Source organism: Homo sapiens, chromosome 19, assembly GCF_000001405.40.
Source record: "Homo sapiens chromosome 19, GRCh38.p14 Primary Assembly".
Lineage (NCBI taxonomy): Eukaryota > Metazoa > Chordata > Mammalia > Primates > Hominidae > Homo > Homo sapiens.
In genome coordinates, this window is record NC_000019.10 from 45,000,568 (window position 1) to 45,022,645 (window position 22,078).

The 22,078-nt window shown below is 51.5% G+C and overlaps 1 protein-coding gene across 5 annotated transcripts in view, besides 6 other annotated features; it reads left to right on the plus strand.

Moving 5' to 3' along the window:
* Positions 721–1,130: a silencer, noted in NCBI's record as "silent region_10746". NCBI's record gives its function as "represses an Ori minimal core promoter by ATAC-STARR-seq in GM12878 lymphoblastoid cells {active_cell/tissue: GM12878}" and the evidence as "EXISTENCE:reporter gene assay evidence [ECO:0000049][PMID:35858748]".
* RELB (RELB proto-oncogene, NF-kB subunit) overlaps positions 897–22,078 on the plus strand; it is a 36,729-nt gene continuing 15,547 nt past the window's right edge. For 2 of the 5 annotated variants that reach the window (NM_006509.4, XM_005259128.3), the window contains exons 1-5: positions 897–1,118; positions 2,382–2,429; positions 9,247–9,255; positions 11,369–11,709; positions 21,486–21,643. In NM_006509.4, coding sequence (NP_006500.2) covers positions 1,013–1,118; positions 2,382–2,429; positions 9,247–9,255; positions 11,369–11,709; positions 21,486–21,643 — 662 coding nt within the window. In that variant the 5' untranslated portion in view covers positions 897–1,012. Of the gene's footprint in view, positions 1,119–2,381; positions 2,430–7,890; positions 7,944–9,246; positions 9,256–11,368; positions 11,710–21,485; positions 21,644–21,670; positions 21,950–22,078 lie in introns of those variants that run through there. The other 3 variants (XM_047439189.1, NM_001411087.1, XM_047439190.1) reach the window with 3 other exon arrangements.
* Positions 1,451–1,730: a silencer, noted in NCBI's record as "silent region_10747". NCBI's record gives its function as "represses an Ori minimal core promoter by ATAC-STARR-seq in GM12878 lymphoblastoid cells {active_cell/tissue: GM12878}" and the evidence as "EXISTENCE:reporter gene assay evidence [ECO:0000049][PMID:35858748]".
* Positions 6,554–6,703: a silencer, noted in NCBI's record as "silent region_10748". NCBI's record gives its function as "represses an Ori minimal core promoter by ATAC-STARR-seq in GM12878 lymphoblastoid cells {active_cell/tissue: GM12878}" and the evidence as "EXISTENCE:reporter gene assay evidence [ECO:0000049][PMID:35858748]".
* Positions 11,066–11,567: an enhancer, noted in NCBI's record as "H3K27ac hESC enhancer chr19:45514891-45515392 (GRCh37/hg19 assembly coordinates)". NCBI's record gives its function as "activates a minimal SCP1, AML or CMV promoter by ChIP-STARR-seq in naive H9 embryonic stem cells {active_cell/tissue: H9 hESC(naive)}" and the evidence as "EXISTENCE:reporter gene assay evidence [ECO:0000049][PMID:30033119]".
* Positions 16,448–16,657: a silencer, noted in NCBI's record as "silent region_10749". NCBI's record gives its function as "represses an Ori minimal core promoter by ATAC-STARR-seq in GM12878 lymphoblastoid cells {active_cell/tissue: GM12878}" and the evidence as "EXISTENCE:reporter gene assay evidence [ECO:0000049][PMID:35858748]".
* Positions 19,564–19,858: an enhancer, noted in NCBI's record as "tiled region #3318; HepG2 Activating DNase matched - State 9:DNaseU". NCBI's record gives its function as "activates a minimal TATA promoter and a strong SV40 promoter by Sharpr-MPRA in HepG2 cells {active_cell/tissue: HepG2}" and the evidence as "EXISTENCE:reporter gene assay evidence [ECO:0000049][PMID:27701403]".

Sequence of the window (22,078 nt, forward strand, 5' to 3'; positions counted from 1 at the left end):
TTCATCCAATAAACTTTTTTTTTTTTGAGATGGGAGTCTCGCTCTGTTGCCCAGGCTGGAGTGCAGTGGCACGATCTCAGCTCACTGCAACCTCCGCCTCCCAGGTTCAAGCTATTCTCCTGCCTCAGCCTCCGGAGTAGCTGGCATTACAGGCGCACACCAACACGCCCAGCTAATTTTTGTATTTTTAGTAGAGATGGGATTTCACCATGTCGGTCAGGCTGGTCTCGAAATCCTGACCTCGTGATGTGCCTGCCTCGGCCTCCCAAAGTGCTGAGATTACAGGCATGAACCACCGCGCCCGGCCTCCAATAAACATTTATTGGGCACCTACGGTGTTCCAGGCGCTGGTCTAGGCGTTGGGGTTACAACAACGCACAAAACATAAATTCTGAAGCTGACACGCTAGCTTTAAACGTTCCTTAAATATCTTCATCCTCAATTTACGGTTGAGGAAACTGAGGTGTAGCGAGACCTTGGAGGTTTCCGAAATATTATTATGGATGGCAGGTGTAGAGCCCTGCCAACCTCTCGATCCTGAAGCTCCCCTTCCAGCCTGAGAAACGGCAGGTTCAAGTCCCACTGGGAGACCAAAGCGGGGAGCGGCTCAGTTTGCCGGCTTGCTCAATGGGTAAGGCGTGATGGCTCTAAGCAGGCCTCAGTTGTCTCGTCCAGAGCAATGGGCAGCGACGCCTGCCCAACCCCTCCTGAGCGCCCAGCCTCCCTTTCCCGGCCGGCCCCGCCCCCGCGATCACGTGACGCGTGGGGGTTTTCCCGTTCCCCAGGCGTGACGTCACGGCGGGGTGCAGACCAATGGGCGCGCAGGCCGGCGGCGCCGGGGAATTCCGCCGCCCCGCCCCCGCCCGCCGCCCGCCCGGCCCGGCCCCGCGCCCCGCGCAGCCCCGGGCGCCGCGCGTCCTGCCCGGCCTGCGGCCCCAGCCCTTGCGCCGCTCGTCCGACCCGCGATCGTCCACCAGACCGTGCCTCCCGGCCGCCCGGCCGGCCCGCGTGCATGCTTCGGTCTGGGCCAGCCTCTGGGCCGTCCGTCCCCACTGGCCGGGCCATGCCGAGTCGCCGCGTCGCCAGACCGCCGGCTGCGCCGGAGCTGGGGGCCTTAGGTAAGCGGGGCTGGGGTTCAGGAGAGGGGTCTGGGGCGGGGCTGGAGATGCGGGGATTCTGGCGGTCCCGGAGTAGTCTGGGGGTTCCTATGGGAGTCTAAGGGTTTCGCGGGGGCAGAGTGAGGGTTCCTGAGACACTGTATTAGGGCGTAGGAAGAAGGCAGAGGGTGATGAGGGGGTACGGCCCGAGGTTCGAGCGAGGCGTCCCGCTGTAGAGTGAGAGGGGGCGGGGCCTGACCCTGAGGCAAAGAAGGGGGCGTGGCCTGACTCAGAGAAGGCGGAGCGAAAGCTGCTCTTGGGCGGTATCGGGGCGGGGCCGGGCCCAGAGAGGGAGAAGAGGGGCGGGATCCGACCCGGACTATGAGAAGAGGGCCGGGCCTGACTCAAAAAAGGAAGCAGGGCCCTACGCTGAGGGGTGAGGGGGCGGGGCCTGGCCGTGAGGGCAGGAAGGGGGCGGGGCCTGAGTTGGCCGAAAGAAGGGGAAGGGGCGGGGCCTGACTCTGGCCGAGTGGAGGGGAAGGGCCTGTTACCCAAAAAAGCAGGGCGGGGCCCGACACAGAGAATGAGGAGGGGGTGGGGCTTGCCTCCAGACGGAGAAGCGGAGCCTTGACATTGAAAAAATTAAAAGTGGTCTGACCCTGACAGGAGGATGTTTTTTTTTGTTTGTTTTTTGTTTTTTTCTTTTGAGATGGAGTCTCGCTCTGTCGCCCAGGCTGGAGTGCAGTGGCACGATCTAGGCTCACTGCAACCTCTGCCTCCCGGGCTCAAGCAGTTCTCCTGCCTCAGCCCCCCGAGTAGCTGGAATTACAGGTGCCCGCCACCACACCCGGCTAATTTTTGTAGTTTTACTAGAGACGGGGTTTCACCATGCTGGTCAGACTGGCCTCGAACTTCTGACCTCAGGTGATCCGCACGCCTCGGCCTCTCAAAGTGCTGGGATTACAGGTGTGAGCCCTTGTGCCCAGCGGGATGGGGACTTTTTAAACTGAGATTGAGATGGGGTCCCCTCCAGGCCCAACTTTAAGGGAGAAAAGGAGCGGGCCCTGAGTGTGATGAAGGGTGGGGCGAACCACAGAAACTAAAGGCCAGGACCTGTCCATGATTTAGCTGGTAAGCCTGGCCAGACGCAGGGGGGCAGTCAGGGCGAGGGGCCTGATCCAGAGGGGAAGGGCTAGAAGAGGAAGGGGTGGGGCTTCCTTGGGATATTCTCTGGTCCTCTGGCTGCCCCCCATCACCTCCTGAGACGTTTCTCCTTCTCTGCAGGGTCCCCCGACCTCTCCTCACTCTCGCTCGCCGTTTCCAGGAGCACAGGTGAGCAGCCCTCCACAGTTCCTGCCCACTCGCTCATGCAGGATGAGGTTGGGAGGACTCCACAGAGATGTCTCTGTTTGGGGGTTCACGAGGTCCACCTCAGCTTTCTCCTGACAGGGTGCATCCCTCCCTGCCAGTTGAGATGGGCCCCCTAGGTTTTCTTACCTCTTGGACTGTTAAGAGCGTGACAGGTGGCCGGGCGCGGTGGCTCACGCCTGTAGTCCCAGCACTTTGGGAGGCCGAGGCGGACGGATCACGAGGTCAGGAGATCGAGACCATCCTGGCTAACACGGTGAAACCCCGTCTCTACTGAAAATACAAAAACAAAATTAGCCGGGCGTGGTGGCGGGCTCCTGTAGTCCCAGCTACTCGGGAGGCTGAGGCAGGAGAATGGCGTGAACCTGGGAGGCGGAGCTTGCAGTGAGCCGAGATCGCACCACTGCACTCCAGCCTGGGAGACAGAGCGAGACTCCGACTCAAAAAAAAAAAAAAAAAAAAAAAAAGCGTGACAGGTAAATCTTACCACCTATCCATGCGCAAAGGCTTCTTTAGAGATTCACTGTGGCTTAGTAGAAGGTAATCACTGCCATCCTGGGCTTTGGAGCTGGGGTTTACATACTGCTGTCATCGCCCCTCCCTGTGTGAATGTCTGCAAGTCAGTTCCCCAGTTCAGGCCTCAGTTTTCCTCATCTGTAAGATGGACAGAATAACAGTGCCTCTCTTTCAGGGAAATTGAGAGTATTCAATGAATTGATACAGGTACACTTTCCAAGCAGTATCTGGCACACAGTAAGGGTTCAGTAAGTGTTAACTGTTAGTGGTATAATAATAATAACGATAATAATTATTATTACTAGACAGTCTATAACAGTGGTTCATTTTTGGTGTGTGTGTGGGTTTTTTTTGTCTGTTTTTTGTGTTTTTTTTTTTTTTTTTTTTTTTTTTGAGACAGAGTCTCGCTGTGTCACCCAGGCTGGAGTACATTGATGCGATTTTGACTCACTGCAATCTCCACCTCCCGGGTTCAGCAATTCTCCTGCCTCAGCCTCCTGAGTAGCTGGGATTACAGGCACCCGCCACCACAACCCACTTTGTGTCTTTAGTAGAGATGGGGTTTCACCATGTTGGCCAGGCTGGTCTTGAACTCCTGACCTCAGGTAATCCGCCCGCCTCAGCCTCCCAAAGTGCTGGGATTACAGGTGTGAGCCACCTCGCCTGGCCAGACAGTGGTTCTTTTTTTTTTGAGACGGAGTTTCATTCCTGTTGCCCAGGCTGGAGTACAATGGCGCGATCTCGGCTCACTGCAACCTCCACCTCTCAGGTTCGAGCAATTCTCCTGCCTCAGCCTCCCAAGTAGCTGGGATTACAGTCATGTGCCACCACGCTCAGCTAATTTTTTGTATTTTTAGTAGAGACAGGGTTTCTCCATGTTGGTCAGGCTGGTCTCGAACTCCTGACCTCAAAGGATCCGCCCTCCTCGGCCTCCCAAAGTGCTGGGATTACAGGCGCGAGCCACCGTGCCTGGCCAGACAGTGGTTCTTAAACCATGTGCATCAGAATCATCCATAGCGCTAGTTAAAACATAATGTCGCCTGATGTGGTGGCTCATGCCTGTAATCCCGGCACTTTGGGAGGCCGAGGTAGGCTCATCACCTGAGGTCGGGAGTTCTAGACCAGGCTGACCAACATGGAGAAACACCATCTCTACTAAAAATACAAAATTAGCTGGGCGTGGTGGCGCATGCCTGTAATCCCAAATATTCAGGAGGCTGAGGCAGGAGAATCACTTGAACCTGGGAGGTGGAGGTTGCCGTGAGCCGAGATCATGGCATTGCACTCCAGCCTGGGCAACAAGAGTGAAACTCCGTCTCAAACAAACAAACAAAAAAACAGCCGGCCGTGGTGGCTCACTCCTGTGATCCCAGCACTTTGGGAGGTCGAGACAGGCAGATCACAAGGTCAGGAGTTCAAGACCAGCCTGGCCAATATGTTGAAACCCCATCTCTACTAAAAATACAAAAAAAATTAGCCAGGCGTGGTGGCAGGCACCTGTAATCCCAGCTACTTGGGAGGCTGAGGCAGGAGAATCACTTGAACCCGGGAGGCGGAAGTTGCAGTGAGCGGGGATCGTGCCACTGCACTCCAGCCTGGGTGACAGAGCAAGAGCCTCCGTCTCAGGAAAAAAAACAAAAAACCATGTCAGGCCCCACCTCTCGAGTTTCTGATTCAGTAGGTTTGGGATGAGAAATTATTTGCATTTTTAGCAAGCTCCCAAGAGATGCCTAGAACTACTAGTCTATAAAGTCCCCCAGCCAAAATTCAGTGCTGCCCAAGGAAATGCAGAATCTCAACCAAATTATGACATTTTTTCTTATATACATTTGCCAGGATTTGGAGGGCAGGGGTAGTCCTGTTGTTATGAATACTCAGTGGCTCCAGTTAGCTGGGTCTGGGCCTTTCTCTGGAGATATAATCTTGGGATGGACCCAAGTTCTGGCTTGGCCATTGAAGAAGTGAGGCCGGTTCCCCAACAGGTCTGTGAGTTTAGGGAGGATGGCATCAGTGACAGACACTGCCCAAGCGGTGGTCCTGCGCAGGAACAAGGCTGAGACTTTTCTTTTTTTTGAGACAGAGTCTCGCTCTGTCACCCAGCCTGGAGTGTAGTGTCACAATCTCGGCTCACTGCAACCTCCGCCTCCCAGGTTCAAGTGATTCTCCTGCCTCAGCCTCCCGAGTAGCTGAGATTATAGGCGTGTGCCACCATGTCCACCTAATTTTTGTATTTTTAGTAGAGACGGGGTTTTGCCATGTTGGCCAGGCCGGTCTGGAACTCCTGGCCTCAAGCGATCTGCCTGCCTTGGCCTCCCAAAGTGCTAGGATTACAGGCATGAGCCACCGTGCCCGGCCAAGGCTGAGACTTTTCTGGTCCAAGACCTAGATCTTTGGTTTCAAATGAGAGTTATTTCTGATGTCATCCATTCAATAAATATTTATTATGCGCCTGTTCTGTACCTGGCCTTGTGCCGAGCAGTGCTGAGGACAGGCCTGGCCCTGGGGTTCCCTACCTAGATGAGGAGGCAGACACGTAAACAATAAGTTAAATATGGGATTATAAAATGTGATAAGGGCTATGAAGAAACCTTGGGGTCAATGATATTTAATAACAGGGTGGGGATACGAGAACTAGTGAGATAGAATGGGAAGGAAAATTCCCTTTTTGTTTTTGGAGGCAGAGTCTCATTCTGTCGCCTACACTGGAGTGCGGTGGCGTGATCTAGGCTTACTGCAACCTCCGACTCCCGGGTTCAAGCCATCCTCCTGCCTCAGCCTCTCAAACAGCTGGGATTCCAGGCGTGTGCCACCACACGCAGCTGATTTTTGTACTTTTAGAGAAACGGGGTTTCACCACGTTGGCCAGGCTTGTCTCAAAATCCTGACCTCCACTGATCCAGCCACCTCGGCCTCTCAAAGTGCTGGGATTACAGGCATGAGCCACTGTGCCCAGCGAGAAAATCCCCTTCATTGTGAAGGGCCAGACATATGCTGGACCCTGGGGATAAAATGAGGAGAAACAGACATTATTCCCACTCTTCAATGCTCCCAGTCTATAGGAGACAGGTATGAGTCAGTGTAATGTGAGGTCATGTGACATCTTCATCAGCGCCATGAAAATGATAAAACAGGCTGGGTGTGGTGGCTCATGCCTGTAATCCCAGCACTTTGGGAGGCCGAGGTGGGTGGATCACCTGAGGTCAGGAGTTCAAGACCAGCCTGACCAACGTGGCAAAACCTCATCTCTACTAAAAATACGAAAATTAGCTGGGTGTGGTGGCCTGTAATCCCAGCTACTCAGGAGGCTGAGGCAGGAGAATCACTTGAACCTGCGAGGCGGAGGTTGTGGTGAGCTGAGATTGCATCATTGCACTCCAGCCTGGGTGACAACAGCAAAACTCCATCTGAAAAAAAAAAAAAAAAAGAAAATGATAAAACAAAGGCACCTGACTTTGAGGGACTGGAGTGGGGGATAAGGGGACTCTCTTGGATAAAATGGTCAGGGAAGAGCTGTCTAGGATGTGACGTTTGACCAAGGAACTGAAGATGGAGGAGGAGGAAGTCACGCCATGCAAAGAACTGGGGGAAGAGCATTCAGGCAGAGACCAGCCTGTGCAAAGGCTGAGGCAGCACATACATAGTCAATTTCCTGCTCTCACATCTGCTCTCACGTGGCCCATCCTGGCTGCCCCTGAATGGTGGCAAGTCCACGTTGGGGGTAAAGGGAGGCACTGCTATTTGAGCAGAAACTTGAATAATTTCCTGGCTAATAGAGGACTTGAGATAATAATAATATTAACTAAGCTTTCTGGAAGATGTCGCGTGGTCAGAACCTGCACTAAGTAGTTTACCTGTGTGATTCTGAATCCTCATGTTAGTTCCTGAGGTAGGAGCTCACACCTCATTTTGTAGAGGAAGCTCAGAGACGGTAAGTGACTTGCCCAAGGCTGCACAGCCAGTGAGTAACAGCTGAGATTCAAATCAACTCTATGTGACTCTACACTCCATGCTCTAAAATCATGCCCATGGCCAGGCGTGGTGGCTCACACCTGTAATCCCAGCACTTTGGGAGGCTGGGGTGGGTGGGTCACTTGAGGCCAGGAGTTCGAGACCAGCCTGGCCAACATGGTGAAACCCCGTCTCTACTAAAAGTACAAAAATTAGCCGGGCATGGTGGTACGAGACTGTAATCCCAGCTACTCAGGAGGCTGAGGCAGGAGAATCGCTAGAACCCGGGAGGCAGAGGTTGCAGTGAGCCAAGAATGCACCACACTGTACTCCAGCCTGGGTGACAGAGCAAGACTCCATCTCAAAAAATAGAAAATAGGCTGGGCGTGGTGGCTCACGCCTGTAATCCCAGCACTTTAGGAGGCCGAGGTGCGCGGATCATGAGGTCAGGAGATCGAGACTAGCCTGACTAACATAGTAAAACCCCGTCTCTGCTAAAAATACAAAAAAAAAAAAAAAAAAAAAAAGCCGGGTGTGGTGGTGTGCACCTGTAATCTCAGCTACTCGGGAGGCTGAGACAGGAGAATCACTTGAACCCAGGAGGCAGAGGTTGCAGTGAGCCAAGATTGTGCCACTGCACCCTAGCCTGGGTGACAGAGCAAGACTCCGTCTCAAAAAAATAAAAATAAATAAAATAAAATAAAATAAAATATTAAATAAAAGTATCTTAGCCCAACAAGGTAGGCATTATTATTGTGCCCATTTTACAGATGAAGAAGCCAAGGCACAAAAAGGTGAAGTAATAGGCTTATGGCCCCACAACTAGCAAGTTGCAGAGCCAGGATTTGAACAGAGGCAGTGAACCCAGAGCTCCAGCCACAGCCGCCCAGGACTCAGTCTCCCCCTACAGCCCGGGAGCCTCTGGAGGGTCCAAAGTCTAACTCTGTCTTTGGGTCCCCAGGTTCATCCAGCACAGATGCCTAAGAAGGATTTTCCCAGTTCAAGTGACTTGAGGTTGGCCCTGCCACTGACCTAGAGCGTGTCCCTTCCTCTCTGCCAGCCTCAGTATCCCCATCTGCCAAATTGGGGGGACCTTGGCACCCTACTGGCTTCACAGATCCCATGAGATAAGGGGTGCAGGAAAACTACCTTTCAAGGGGCAAAGGTCTGGCTGCCAGGAGCCACTCCCTGAGAACAGAGGAGGACAGATCTAGCAGCGGAACAGGTTCGCGTCTATAAATCCCCAGCCAGAGACCAGCGCAGGCAGCCCTGGGTGGGACACCTGGCTGCAGCTGCCTTCCGTTGCTGTGTGATTCTAAGGCTCACTGGCGGCCTCTGGGCTTCCCCTTGTCCTGTCTATGGAATGACGGGAGGTCGGTTTCGATTCCTCCACGATTCTGTGAAGGGCTGAGCTTTCCTGGGGAGGTGAAAAGGGGCTTCCCTGAGGACCCAGCATTACTGTACCTCCTCACTTAGGAAGCAGGGGTGAATCTGGGATTTTGGGTGGTCACTGTGGGAGGACAGGGCTGGGGTACAGAGCAAGAGGCTGCCTGGGTTCAGATCAGCCTCTTTGCATCTTTTTGTTGTTGTTGTTGTTTGTTTTTGAGACAGTCTCGCTCTGTTGTCCAGGCTGGAGTGCAGTGACGCAATCTCAGCTCACTGCAACCTCTGCCTCCTGAGTTCAAGCGATTCTCCTGCCTCAGCCTCCCGAGTAGCTGGGATTACAGGTGCCCACCACGATACCCAGCTAATTTTTGTATTTTTAGTAGAGACGGGGTTTCGCCATGTTGGCCAGGCTGGTCTCGAACTCCTGACCTCAAGTGATCTGCCCACCTCAGCCTCCCAAAGTGCTGGGATTACAGGCGTGAGCCACCAGGCCTGGCCACCTCTTTGTATCTTTAAACACCAGCCAGTGACCTCCAGGACCCTGGGGTGGACTTCAGGGAGGGAACACACCCCAATTTGTTTGGAAATTTGGGCATCCACTTTTTCCTGGTGCTAAGACCCCTTTCTAATGGGTTCCCAAAAAGACTTCATAATCCCTGGTCTAAATGTTTTTCGGGAGGCATTTGGCTTAGTTGGAGGATACCCTGATGCTGGGACCCCAACATTAGAGGTTGAAAGGATGGTAGCCCAGAGGAGAAGATGAGGTTTGGGGTTTAGTGCCCCAGCAAGTCAGAGCCCAGGGTTTCCCAGGACGGAGGAAGACGGAAGGGTCACAGGAGGGACAGGGTTGGGGAATCTGTCTTAAAAGATGAAAAGTTGTGACCACTTTCTGGACCTTACCTTTCTCTTTCTCTTTCTCTTCCTTCCACAGATGAATTGGGTGAGTATCACAGGGCAGGTTTGCGGGGAGGCTGAGGGACCCAAGTGCCTACAGAAGGGGGTCTTGGCCTTCCTTGTTCAGTGGGGGTGGGGGAGAGGTGTCACTGTGTGACTTCCAGGACTGTGGAGGGATTTGAACGAAGTCATGCTCCTAAGGTACTTAGCAGTGCTTGACACTTGGAAAACACTCAGCACGCCGGGGGCTGTGTGACTCACACCTGTAATCCTGGCACTTTGGGAGGCAGAGGCAGGAGGACTGCTTGAGGCCAGGAGTTCAGGACTAGCCTGGGTAACATAGTGAGACCCCCATCTCTACACAAAATTTTTAAAAATTAGCCGGGCATGGTGGTGCGCACCTGTAGTCCCAGCTGCTCAGGAGGCTGAAGTGGGAGGATCACCTGAGCCTGGGAGGTTGCCTTGGAAGCCGAGGCTGCAGTGAGCTATGATTGCACCACTGCACTGCAGCCTGGGCGGCAGAGCAAGACCGTGTCTCAAAAAGAAAACCAATTAAAATAAAATAATGTTATTAATCCCCTAGTGAGTACAGACAGACACTGTTTTAGGCCCTGGGGATTTAGCCATGAACAAAACCAAGTCCCTGCCCTCGCAGAGCTGATAGCCCGGTGTGGGAGACAGAGGAAAATGAACAGATGAGCAAGATAATGTTAGCCTGGGCTGAGAGCTGTGAAAGAAATAAACAGGACGAGGGAGAGATGGCCTGGAGAAGACACATTAGGTTAGGCTTTTCTGAAGAGATAACATACGAGCTGAGACCAGGAGGAGAAGCAGCCAGCATGGGTTGAATGGGGGACCGTGTGGAACAGGCAGTTGGAGGAGCAAGTTCTTTCTTATTTATTTATTTAAGTTATTTTTTGAGACAGAGTCTCGCTCTGTCGCCCAGGCTGGAGTGCAGTGGTGCTGTCTCAGCTCACTGCAACCTCCACCTCCCAGGTTCAAGCAATTCTCCTGCCTCAGCCTCCCGAGTAGCTGGGAGTACAGGCATGCACCAACATACCTGGCTCATTTTTGTATTTATTTATCTATTTATTTAGAGATGGAATTTCGCTCTTGTTGCCCAGGCTGGAGTGCAATGGCATGATCTTGGCTCACTGCAACCTCCACCTCCCAGGTTTAAGTGATTCTCCTGCCTCTGCCTCCCGAGTAGCTGGAACTGCAGGCACACATCACCATGCCCAATTTTTATATTTTTAGTGGAGATGGGGTTTCACCATGTTCGCCAGGCAGGTCTCAAACTCCTGACCTCAGGTGATCCGCCTGCCTCGGCCTCCCAAAGTGCTGGGATTACAGGCGTGAGCCACCATGCCCAGCCTATTTATTTATTTATTATTATTATTTTTTGAGATGGAGTCTTGCTCTGTTGCGCAGGATGGAGTGCAGTGACGCAATCTCGGCTCACTGCAACCTCCGCCTGACGGTTTCAAGCGATTCTCCTGCCTCAGCCTCCTGAGTTGCTGGGACTACAGGCACGTGCCACCATGCCTGGCTAATTTTTTGTATTTTTAGTAGAGACAGGGTTTCACTGTGTTAGCCAGGATGGTCTCGATCTCCTGACCTCATGATCCGCCCGCCTCGGCCTCCCGAAATGCTGGGATTACAGGCATGAGCCACCGCGCCCAGCCTATTATTTATTGAGAGACGGAGTCTCACTCTGTCGCCCAGGCTGGCGTGCAGTGTCACGATCTTGACTTACTGCAGTGTCCGCCTCCTGGGTTCAAGCTGTTCTCCTGCCTCAGCCTCCTGAGTAGCTGGGATTACAGACGTGGGAGACCATTCGGGCTAATTTTTGTAGAGACGGGGTTTCACTATGTTGGCCAGGCTGGTCTCGAACTCCTGACCTCAATTGATTCACCCACCTTGGCCTCCCAAGGTGTTGGGATTACAGGCGTGAGCCACCGCACCTGGCCTCCCTGACTCTGTGTGTGTGTGTGTGTGTGTGTGTGTGTGTGTGTGTGTGTGAGAGAGAGAGAGAGAGAGAGAGAGAGAGAGAGAGAGATAAATGGGATGGAAAACGTCTCGGGGGTAATCAAGCCTTTTTTTTTTTTTTTAATTTTTTAAAGAATGGGCGTCACCACCCGTTTTTTCTTCTCCCGCAGAGATCATCGACGAGTACATCAAGGAGAACGGCTTCGGCCTGGACGGGGGACAGCCGGGCCCGGGCGAGGGGCTGCCACGCCTGGTGTCTCGCGGGGCTGCGTCCCTGAGCACGGTCACCCTGGGCCCTGTGGCGCCCCCAGCCACGCCGCCGCCTTGGGGCTGCCCCCTGGGCCGACTAGTGTCCCCAGCGCCGGGCCCGGGCCCGCAGCCGCACCTGGTCATCACGGAGCAGCCCAAGCAGCGCGGCATGCGCTTCCGCTACGAGTGCGAGGGCCGCTCGGCCGGCAGCATCCTTGGGGAGAGCAGCACCGAGGCCAGCAAGACGCTGCCCGCCATCGAGGTGGGCCCGGCGAGCGGCCCCGGGCGGGTGGGACTGGGGCTTCCCCTGCACCCCGGAGCCATCCACATGCATTTATACGTTTATTTGATGGTGGCTGTTGTTGTTATTGTTGGACCAGATATTAATTATACTATCACCTGGCCTGGAATCCAAAAGGTTCAGAAAAAAGGAGGGGTCGGACATTTGGCTGGGCACGGTGACTCGCGCCTGTAATCCCAGTACTTTGGGAGTCTGAGGCGGGCGGATCCCTTGATGTCAGGAGTTCGAGACCAGCCTGGCCAACATGGTGAAACCCCATCTGTACTAAAAGTACACAAATTAGCCGAGTGTGGTGGCACAATCCCAGCTATTTAGGAGGCCGAGGTGGGAGGATTAGCTGAGCCCAGGGAGGTGCAGGCTGCTGTGAGCTGAGATTGCACCATTGCATAGCAGTCTGGGTAACAGAGTGAGACCTTGTCTCAAAAAAAAAGAAAAAAAAAAAAGAAGGCAGATCGTGGTGCGGTGGCTCAGGCTTGTAATTCTAGCACTTTGGGAGGTCGAGGCGAGCGGATCACTCGAGCTCAGGAGTTCTAGATGAGCCTGGGCAAGACGGCAAAACCCCATCTCTACAAAAAATACAAAAATTAGCCAGGTGTGGTGGCACATGGCTGTAGTCCTAGCTACATGGTAGGGCTGAGGTGGGAGGATCGCTTGAGCCTAGGAGGTCAAGGCTACAGTGAGCCAAGATCGCACCACTGCACTCCAGCCTGAGCAACAGAGCAATACCCTGCCTCCATTAAAAAACAAACAAATATATATAACACTGGAAGTAAAAAAAGCAAAGGTGATTACTTTTGGCAGGGTATTAATGTATTAATAAGGTACAGGTAAGTTTTATTTTTTTGAGACGGAGTCTTGGTCTGTTGCCCAGGCTGGAGTGCAGTGGTGTGATCTCGCCTCACTGCAACCTCCACCTCCCGGGTTCAAGCGATTCTCCTGCCTCAGCCTCCCGAGTAGCTGGGATTACAGGTCCACCACCACGCCTGGCTAATTTTTGTATTTCTTAGTAGAGAAGGGGTTTTGCCATGTTGGCCAGGCTGGTCTCAAACCCCTGACCTCAAGTGATCCGCATGCCTTGGCCTTCCAGAGTGCTGGGATTGCAGGTGTGAGCCACTGTGCCTGGCCTCTTTGGTGTCTGTTAATCTGGATCTGTTCTTCAATCTGTCTTTGTGTTTCGTGAGTTGAACATTTGTGCAGAACAGGACGGATGTTTTGTAGAATGTCCCACATTCTGAAGCTGGTCGTGGTGGCTCATGCCTGTAATCCTAGCACTTTGGGAGGCCGAGGCAGGCGGATCACCTGAGGTCGGGAGTTCGAGACCACCCTGACCAACATGGAGAAACCCCATGTCTACTGAAAATACAAAATTAGTGCGGCGTGGTGGTGCATGCCTGTAATCCCAGCTACTCGGGAGGCTGAGGCAGAAGAATCACTTGAATCCGGGAGGCAGAGGCTGCGGTGAGCCAAGATCGTGCCATTGCTCTCCGGCCTGAGCGACAAGAGCAAAACTCCTTCTAAAAAAAAGAAAAAGAAAAAGAAAAAAAGAATATCCCACATTCTGGGTTTGTTGGCTGTTTCCAGATTAGGTCAGATTATGCATTTTTGGCAGAAACACTCCAGCAGTGATGCTGTGGCCTTCTCAGTGTCTCACATCAAGGGACGTGGGATGTCGTTATTCCCAATATTGGTGATGCTGAGTTGGATCCTCCAGCTAATGTGGTGACTATCAGGTCTCTCCATGATAAAGATACAACTTTCCCTTTGTAATGAATTGGTAAGTTATCTATGGGATGATATACTGAGATGTATCATCCCATGTTTAACTGTATTCCCCAACTTCTAATTTCTAAGGCTTTTTTTTTTTTTTTTTTGGAGACAGGGTCTCTCTCTGTCACAGAGGCTGGAGTAAAGTGGCACAAGCACGGCTCACTGCAGCCTCCACCTCCCAGGCTCAAGAGACCCTCCCACCTCAGCCTCCTGAGTTGCTGGGACTACAGGTGCATGCCACCGTGCCTGGCTAATTTTTGTATTTTTTTGAAGAGTTGGCATCTCACCATGTTGTCCAGGCTGGTCTTGAACTTCTGGCCTCAAGCAATCCTCCCACTTTGGCCTCCCAAAGTGTTGGAATTACATGTGTGAGCCACCGCACCGGCCTAATTTCTAAGTCTTCCCAGGCAGTTATTCTGGCTCAGAGTTTTTTTTTGTTTTTTGGTTTTTTTTTTGATGGAATCTTGCTCTGTCACCCAGGCTGGAGTGCAATGGTGCAATCTCAGCTCACAGCAACCTCCACCTCCTGGGTTCAAGCGATTCTCCTGCCTCAGCCTCCCAAGTAGCTGGGATTACAGGCACGCGCCATGATGTCCGGCTAATATTTTGTACTTTTAGTAGAGATGGGGTTTCACCATGTTGGCCAGGCTGGTCTTGAACTTCTGACCCCAAGTGATCTGTCTGCCTCAGCCTCCCAAAGTGCTGGGATTACAGGTGTGAGCCACCGTGCTCGGACCCCAGAGTTGGTTTTGATTTCCAAGATTTAGAATGGTAAATGCCTAACCATAGGGAATGACCTGTCTCCAAATCTGGATTCAGGATTTTTTTTTTTTTTTTTGAGACGGAGTCTTGCTCTGTTGCCCAGGCTGGAGTGCAGTGGTGTGATCTCAGCTCACTGCAACTTCCGCCTCCTGGGTTCAAGCGATTCTCCTGTCTTAGCCTCCCAAGTAGCTGGGATTACAGGTGTGCACCACCATGCCCAGCTAATTTTTGTATTTTTAGTAGAGACAGGGTTTCACCACATTGGCCAGGCTGATGTCAAACTCCTGCCCTCAGGTAATCCACCTGCCTCGGCCTCCCAAAGTGCTGGGATTACAGGCATGAGCCAGCATGCCTGGCTTGGATTCAGGATGTTTATCCCCATCTTCAGAGTAGGAAACTGAGGTTAAAAGAGGGGCAGTTACCTGCACAGGGCACACAGCAAGTTTACTATTGTAATTACCGCCATTTACTGAGTGCTTCCATGTACCAGGTACTTTGCATACCTATTTTACACATAAAGACAGTAAGACCCGAGAGGTTTATCTTGTAGATGGCCAGTGGTAGAGCCTGGATTTGGTGCCAGGTCGGACTTATTCTAAAGCCTAATGGGCCAGGCATGGTGGCTCATGCCTGTGATCCCAGCACCTTGGGAGACTAAGGCAGGAGGATCACTTGAGGCCAGGAGTTCAAGACCAGCCCAGGTGACATGGCAAGATGCCCGTCTCTATAAAAATAAAAAAATTAGCCAGGCGTGGTGGCATGCGCCTGGGGTCCCAGCACCATGGGAGGCTGAATGGGGAGGATTGCTTGAGCCTGGGAAGTGGAGGCTGCAGTGAGCCATGGTCACACCACTGCACTCCAGTCTGGGTGACAGAGAAAGATGCTATCTCAAAAAAAAAAAAGAAAAAAGAAACAACTAAAGTCTAATGTTTTTTCCACAGTCCCAACTGACATCTCAAGGATGAAAAGCTTTCAGCCCTGGAGTCTGCATGAGTCCGAGACTGTTGACTCTAAGCTTTTCAGAATCTCCTACTATTACAGCGGGGAGCTGGTTAAATGAATGGTTTTAACCCTATCTGACCCAGTGAGATTTGTAGACAATATTACCTACCTCTATTCACAGTCACTCCCAAAGTCCATATTTTATTTTATTTTATTATTATTTTTTTTTTGAGATGCAGTCTCGCTCTGTCACCCAGGCTGGAGTGCAGTGGCATGCAACCTCCGCCTCCTGAGTTCAAGTGATTCTCCTGCCTCAGCCTCCCGGGTAGCTGAGATTACAGGCACCTGCCAGCAGGCCCGGCTAATTTTTGTGTTTTTAGTAGAGACGGGGTTTCACCATGTTGGCCAGGCTGGTCTCGAACTCCTGACCTCAAGTGATCTGCCTGCCTCAGCCTCCCACAGTGCTGGGATTACAGGCGTGAGCCACCGTGCCTGGCCAAAACTCCATATTTTACACCAAACTGTAGTATAAAAGAGAAAGAAAAGGAAATTAATACAGCATATATAATCACATTTATTTCAATATGTAAACGCCCCACAGGATATATGAGGAAGGTGGCAGTTGTTTGTGACTATATATAGGCTCCTTGTTAATGCCGTGGCCACAAATGCAGCCTGACCCAGCTGCGCAGACTTAGTGACTTATATGTCACACGTGCAGGGTTGCGGTTGGTGAGGGGATTTTCCAAAGTGGCGAACAACTCTTGGTCTAAACAATTAGTGTGCTGGTTGCAATCTTTGAAAATTCAGTGGGTATTACAGTTATGGGAAACTCCAGCCTGGGTGACAGAGTTAGACCTCGTCTCAAAAAAGAAAAAGGAAAAACAATTATGGGAAAGAATATTATTGGTGTCAAACAGAGCAAGGGCCAGGTGTGATGCATGCCTGTAAGCCCAGATGTTTGGGAGACTAAAGTGGAAGTATTGCTTGAGTCTGGGAGGCGGAGGTTGCAGTGAGCTGAGATCGTGCCATTGCACTCCAGCCTGTGCGAGATCCTGTCTTAAAAACAAACAAACAAACAAACAAACAAATCCACTCAGCAACAATAGAGCAAGTTTCTGGGATCTGGTCATTTTAAACAGGTTTCTTATTGACTCGAATCTTTGGCAGGATGTTCAGAAGGCTTGCTGGCTGTGGGATGGCTGTGCGGGACTGTCCCTGGTATTATAAACTGTCCAGCATAACTGGTCCTGTCTACTTGCGGTAGGGTCCACATCAGTGTCAACCAGCCACCCCCCAAATCCCATTTTTCCCCTAGGGGGCAGCACTCCCCCACTGAGACCAATGGTTAATGGTATTTTATAGGCTTGGGCTTTAGAAGTTCAGAGCAGGCTTCAGAAGGTATTTAATGCCAGCAGGGCTGAGCCAGTGACTCAAAGCTGCCAAGTGGGACTGGCCCTGCCTAACGGGGCTGGTTTTTATTTGCTGCTGCCTGTGGCTGCTGAGCAAAAATTCTGGCTTCACTTGCTATATCTTCCTTTTTTAAAAAAGAAAAATCTGGGGAGGCCGAGGTGGGCGGACCACCTGAGGTTAGGAGTTCGAGGCCCTGGAGGCTGGGATCGCACCACTGCACTCCAGCCTGGGCAACAGAGAGAATCTGTCTAAAAAAAAAAAAAACAATTCTGGAAATCCGAAATAATGTGATGTCTTATAATTTTAATTGTGGGCTCCAAGTTTTTCCTAATCTTTTACTTGGAAAAAAAAGTTTTAGTTTTTTCCTGTCTAGTTTTTCTTTTTAAGTTTTATTGAGGTATAATTGATGTAAGAAAAATTGCACATACTTAATGTATACATTTTGATGAATTTGTTATTATTCCTTTTTTTTTTTTTTTGAGACAGAGTTTTGCTCTTGTTGCCCAGGCTGGAGTGCAATGGTGCGATCTCTGCCTCTCAGGTTCAAGCAGTCCTCTTGCCTCAGCCTCCTGAGTTGGTAGGATTACAGGCCTGTACCATCATGCCTGGCTAATTTTGTATTTTTAGTAGAGAGGGGGTTTTGCCATGTTGCCCAGGCTGGTCTCGAACTCCTGGCCTCAGGTGATCCACCCGCCTCAGCCTCCCAAAGTGCTGGGATTGCAGGCACGAACCACCGTGCCCAGCCCTTTTGATTAGTTTGGATGATAAAAGAATTTAAACCTAGAGACCAGGCGCGGTGGCTCACGCCTGTAATCCCAGCATTTTGGGAGGCCGAGGCAGGTGGATCACCTGAGGTCAGGAGTTCGAGACCAGCCTGGCCAACATGGAGAAACCCCATCTATACTAAAAATACAAAAATTCTTGGCCGAGCGTGGTGGCTCAGGCCTGTAATCCCAGCACTTTGGGAGACTAAGGCAGGCAGATCACAAGGTCAGGAGGTGGAGACCATCCTGGCTAACATGGTGAAACCCCGTCTCTACTAAAAATACAAAAAATTAGCCAGGTGTGGTGGCGGGCGCCTATAGTCCCAGCTACTCGAGAGGCTGAGGCAGGAGAATGGCGTGAACCCAGGAGGTGGAGCGTGCAGTGAGCTGAGATCGTGCCACTGCACCCCAGCCTGGCCAACAGAGCGAGACTCCATCTCAAAAAAGTAAAATAAAATAAAAATACAAAAATTAGCCAGGCATGGTGGCAGGCACCTGTAATCTTAGCTACTTAGAAGGTAGAGACGAGAATGGCTTGAACCTGGGAGGCAGGGGTTGCAGTGAGCTGAGATCATGCCATTGCACTCCAGCCTGGGCAACAGAGCAAGACTCCATCTCAAAAAAATAAATAAATAAGAATTTAAACCTACAGAAAAGTTAAAAAATAATACACTGAGTATCTTTGAAAGGTGAGTGCCTGTTATTTATTTATTTTTTTTTAATTTTTTTTGAGACAGAGTTTCGCTCTTGTTGCCCAGGCTGTAGTGCAATGGCGCGATCTCGGCTCACTGCAACTTGTGCCTCCCAGGTTCAAGCGATTCTCCTGCCTCAGCCTCCCGAGTAGCTGGGATTACAGACATGTGCCACCACGCCCTGCTAATTTTGTATTTTTAGTAGAGACGGGGTTTCTCCATGTCGGTCAGGCTGGTCTCGAATTCCTGACCTCAGGTGATCCACCCGCCAGATTACAGGCGTGAGCCACCGCGCTCGGCTGAAAGCTAGTGCCTTTCATCTATATTCACCAGTTGACATTTTGCCACATCTGCTGTGTCTCTCATTCTGTCTCCGCACAGCCAAACATACACACACACAGATACATACATTTTTGTTTTGTTTTGAGACAGGGTCTTGCTCTATTGCCCAGGCTGGAATACAGTGACGCCATCACAGCTCACTGAAGCCCGGATCTCCAGGGTTCAAGCAGTTTTCCCATCTTAGCCTCCTGAGTACCTGGGACTACAGGTGCATTCCACCACACCTGGCTGATTTTTGTATTTTTTGTAGAGATGGGGTCTGCACATGTTGCCCAGGCTGGTCTTGAACTCCTGTGCTGAAGCAACCCACCTTCCCTGGCCTCCAAAAAGTGCTGGGATTACAGGTGTGAGCCACCACGCCTGGCCGACACATTGTTTTTTTGATGACTCATTTACAAATGAATTGTAGCCATCATGCTACTTCACCCCTAATTCCTTCAGGATGTATCTCCTAATCATAAGCTCCTCTGTAGCTACAATCTCATTAATCACCTCTAGGAAAATTAGTAATCCCATCAAATCATGTAATATACAGTCCATATTTCAATTTCCCAATTGTTTCCAAAATGTGTTTTATAGTTGTTTCTTCCTCCTTAATCCAGGATTTAACCAAGGATCATGTTGCATTTGGTTGTCCTATCTCATTAGTCTCTCTCCTTCTCTCTTTATTTATGTATTTATGTATTTATTTATTTTTTGAGAAGGAGTCTTGCTTTGTCACCCAGGCTGGAGTGCAATGGCACGATCTGGGCCCACCGCAACCTCCATCTCCAGGGTTCAAGTGATTCTCCTGCCTCAGCCTCCCGAGTAGCTGGGACTACAGGCATGTGCCACCACGTGCGGCTAATTTTGTATTTTTAGTAGAGACGGTGTTTCTCCATGTTGGTCAGCCTGGTCTCAAACTCCCGACCTCAGTTGATCCACCCACCTCGGCCTCCTCAAACTCCCAACCTCAGGTGATCCACCCACCTCGGCCTCCTCAAACTCCCGACCTCAGGTGATCCCCCACCTCGGCCTCCCAAAGCGTCGGGATTACAGGCGTGAGCCACTGTGCGCAGCCCTTCTCTCCTTTTTTAAAAAAATTAAGATATAATTGATCATATATAGTTAAGATTAAAGCTCTGAATTTTTACATATAATGTATACATATGTAGTTTACACAGTGTAACTACCTACCACCCAGGCACCCAGGTCACAATACATGATTTATTCTCTTTCTCTCTCTCTCTTTTTTTTTTTTTCTTTTTTGAGACAGGGACTTTGTCACCCAGGCTGGAGTGCAGTGACGCAATCTGGGCTCATTGCAACTTCCACGTCTCAGGCTTAAGTGATCCTCCCACCTCAGCTTCCAGAGTAGCTGGGATTATAGATGCCTGTCACCACACCTGGCTAATTTTTGTATTTTTTATAGAGACGGGGTTGCCCAGGCTGGTCTTGAACTCCTGGTCTCAAGCAGTCCTCCCACCTCAACCTCCCAAAGTACTGGGATTACAGGCGTGAGCCACTGTGCCTGGCCCATCATTTGTTGTCTTTTAACCCCAAATGTGGCACCCATCTTTTTTTTTTTTTTTTTTTTTTGAGACGGAGTCTCGCTCTGTCGCCCAGGCTGGAGTGCAGTGGCGCGATCTTGGCTCACTGCAAGCTCCGCCTCCCGGGTTCACGCCATTCTTCTGCCTCAGCCTCCCAAGTAGCTGGGACTACAGGTGCCCGCCACCACGCCCAGCTAATTTTTTGTATTTTTAGTAGAGATGGGGTTTCACCATGTTAGCCAGGATGGTCTCGATCTCCTGACCTCATGATCTGCCCGTCTCAGCCTCCCAAAGTGCTGGGATTACAGGCGTGAGCCACCGCACCCGGCCATGGCACCCATCTTTATAGTCTTCCATGACACTGAAATTTTCACGTGGTGGCTCATGCCTGTCATCCCAGCGCTTTAGGAGGCCAAGGCAGGCAGATCGCTTGAGTTCAGGAGTTTGAGACCAGCTTGGGCAATGTAGCGAAACTCCGTCTCTACTGAAAACACAAAAATTAGCCAGGCATGGTAGTGTGCGCCTGTAGTCCCAGCTACTCAGGAGGCTGCGGCAGGAGAATCCCTTGAGCCCGGAGGCGGAGGTTGCAGTGAGCTGAGATCTCCCGCCACCGCACTCTAGCTTAGGTGATACAGCGAGACCCTGTCACAAAAAAATTTAAAAAAGGCCAGGCACGGTGACTCACGCCTGTAATCCCAGCACTTTGGGAGGCCGAGGCGGGCGGATCACGAGGTCAGGAGATCGAGACCATCCTGGCGAACACGGTGAAACCCCATCTCTACTAAAGATAGAAAAAAATTAGCCGGGCATGGTGGTGGGCACTTGTAGTCTCAGCTACTCGGGAGGCTGAGGCAGGAGAATGGCGTGAACCCGCAGGCAGAGCTTGCAGTGAGCGGATCCAGCCTGGGCGACAGAGCGAGACTCCATCTCAAAAAAAAAAAAAAAAAAAGCCTGAGTGGCCTAAAAAAGCAGCCTGTAGGGCAGATATTATATGAGGCCCCCCAGTTCATCAGTTGGAAGCTTCTGGTTTAGGATATCAAAGTGGCCTTTTTTTTTTTTTTTTTTTTTGAGACCGTCATATTCTGTCACCCAGGCTGGAGTGCAGTGTCAAGAACTCGGCTCACTGCATCCTCCGCCTCCCAGGTTCAGGCGATTCTCCTGCCTCAGCCTCCCGAGCAGGTGGGATTACAGGCATGCGCCACCATGCCGGGCTAATTTTTGTATTTTCAGTAGAGACTGGGTTTCACCATGTTAGCCAGGCTGGTCTGGAACTCCCGACCTCAGGTGATCCGCCCACCTCGGCCTTCCAACGTGCTGGGATTGCAGGCGTGAGCCACCTCGCCCGGCCCAAAGTGGTCTTAAGCAAACACATTCCATCATCCTGGTCGCGGGAGAAGGTTGGGGAGCTCCCAACAGAGGACCCTAGTGGGGAGAGGATTGGGGAGCTGCCAAGGAAGGCCCCAAGGAGTTTGGATGGACGCAGGCATCGGTGATGGGACCCCCAAAGAGGACTTCTCTTCCTGCAGCTCCGGGATTGTGGAGGGCTGCGGGAGGTGGAGGTGACTGCCTGCCTGGTGTGGAAGGACTGGCCTCACCGAGTCCACCCCCACAGCCTCGTGGGGAAAGACTGCACCGACGGCATCTGCAGGGTGCGGCTCCGGCCTCACGTCAGCCCCCGGCACAGGTACCCACCCCCTGACCTCCGACCTCTCATCCTTGATCATGGAGATTCTAAGCGACTGGAGGCCACCCATGAAACTTTAGAGCAGAGGGCAGCTTGGGTAAACCCTCCCCACTGCCTCTTCTAGGTGGGAGACAGGCCTGGGGACAGTGGAGGGCCTCACTTAGGCCTGGAGCCTTGCCACACACATATTCACATACATTTTATCCCTATTTTGTAGAGGAAGAAACTGAGGCTCAGAGAGGGTAAGGAGCACAGATAATTGATGACAGAGCTGGGATTTGACTGCAGACCTGACTTAACTGCAAGGTCTGTTCTTTCTCTTACTTTACAATTCATCTTTTTTTTTTTTTTTTTGGGACGGAGTTTTGCTCTTGTTGCCCAAGCTGGAGTGCAATGGTTCGATCTCAGCTCACTCCAACCTCCACCTCCCGGATT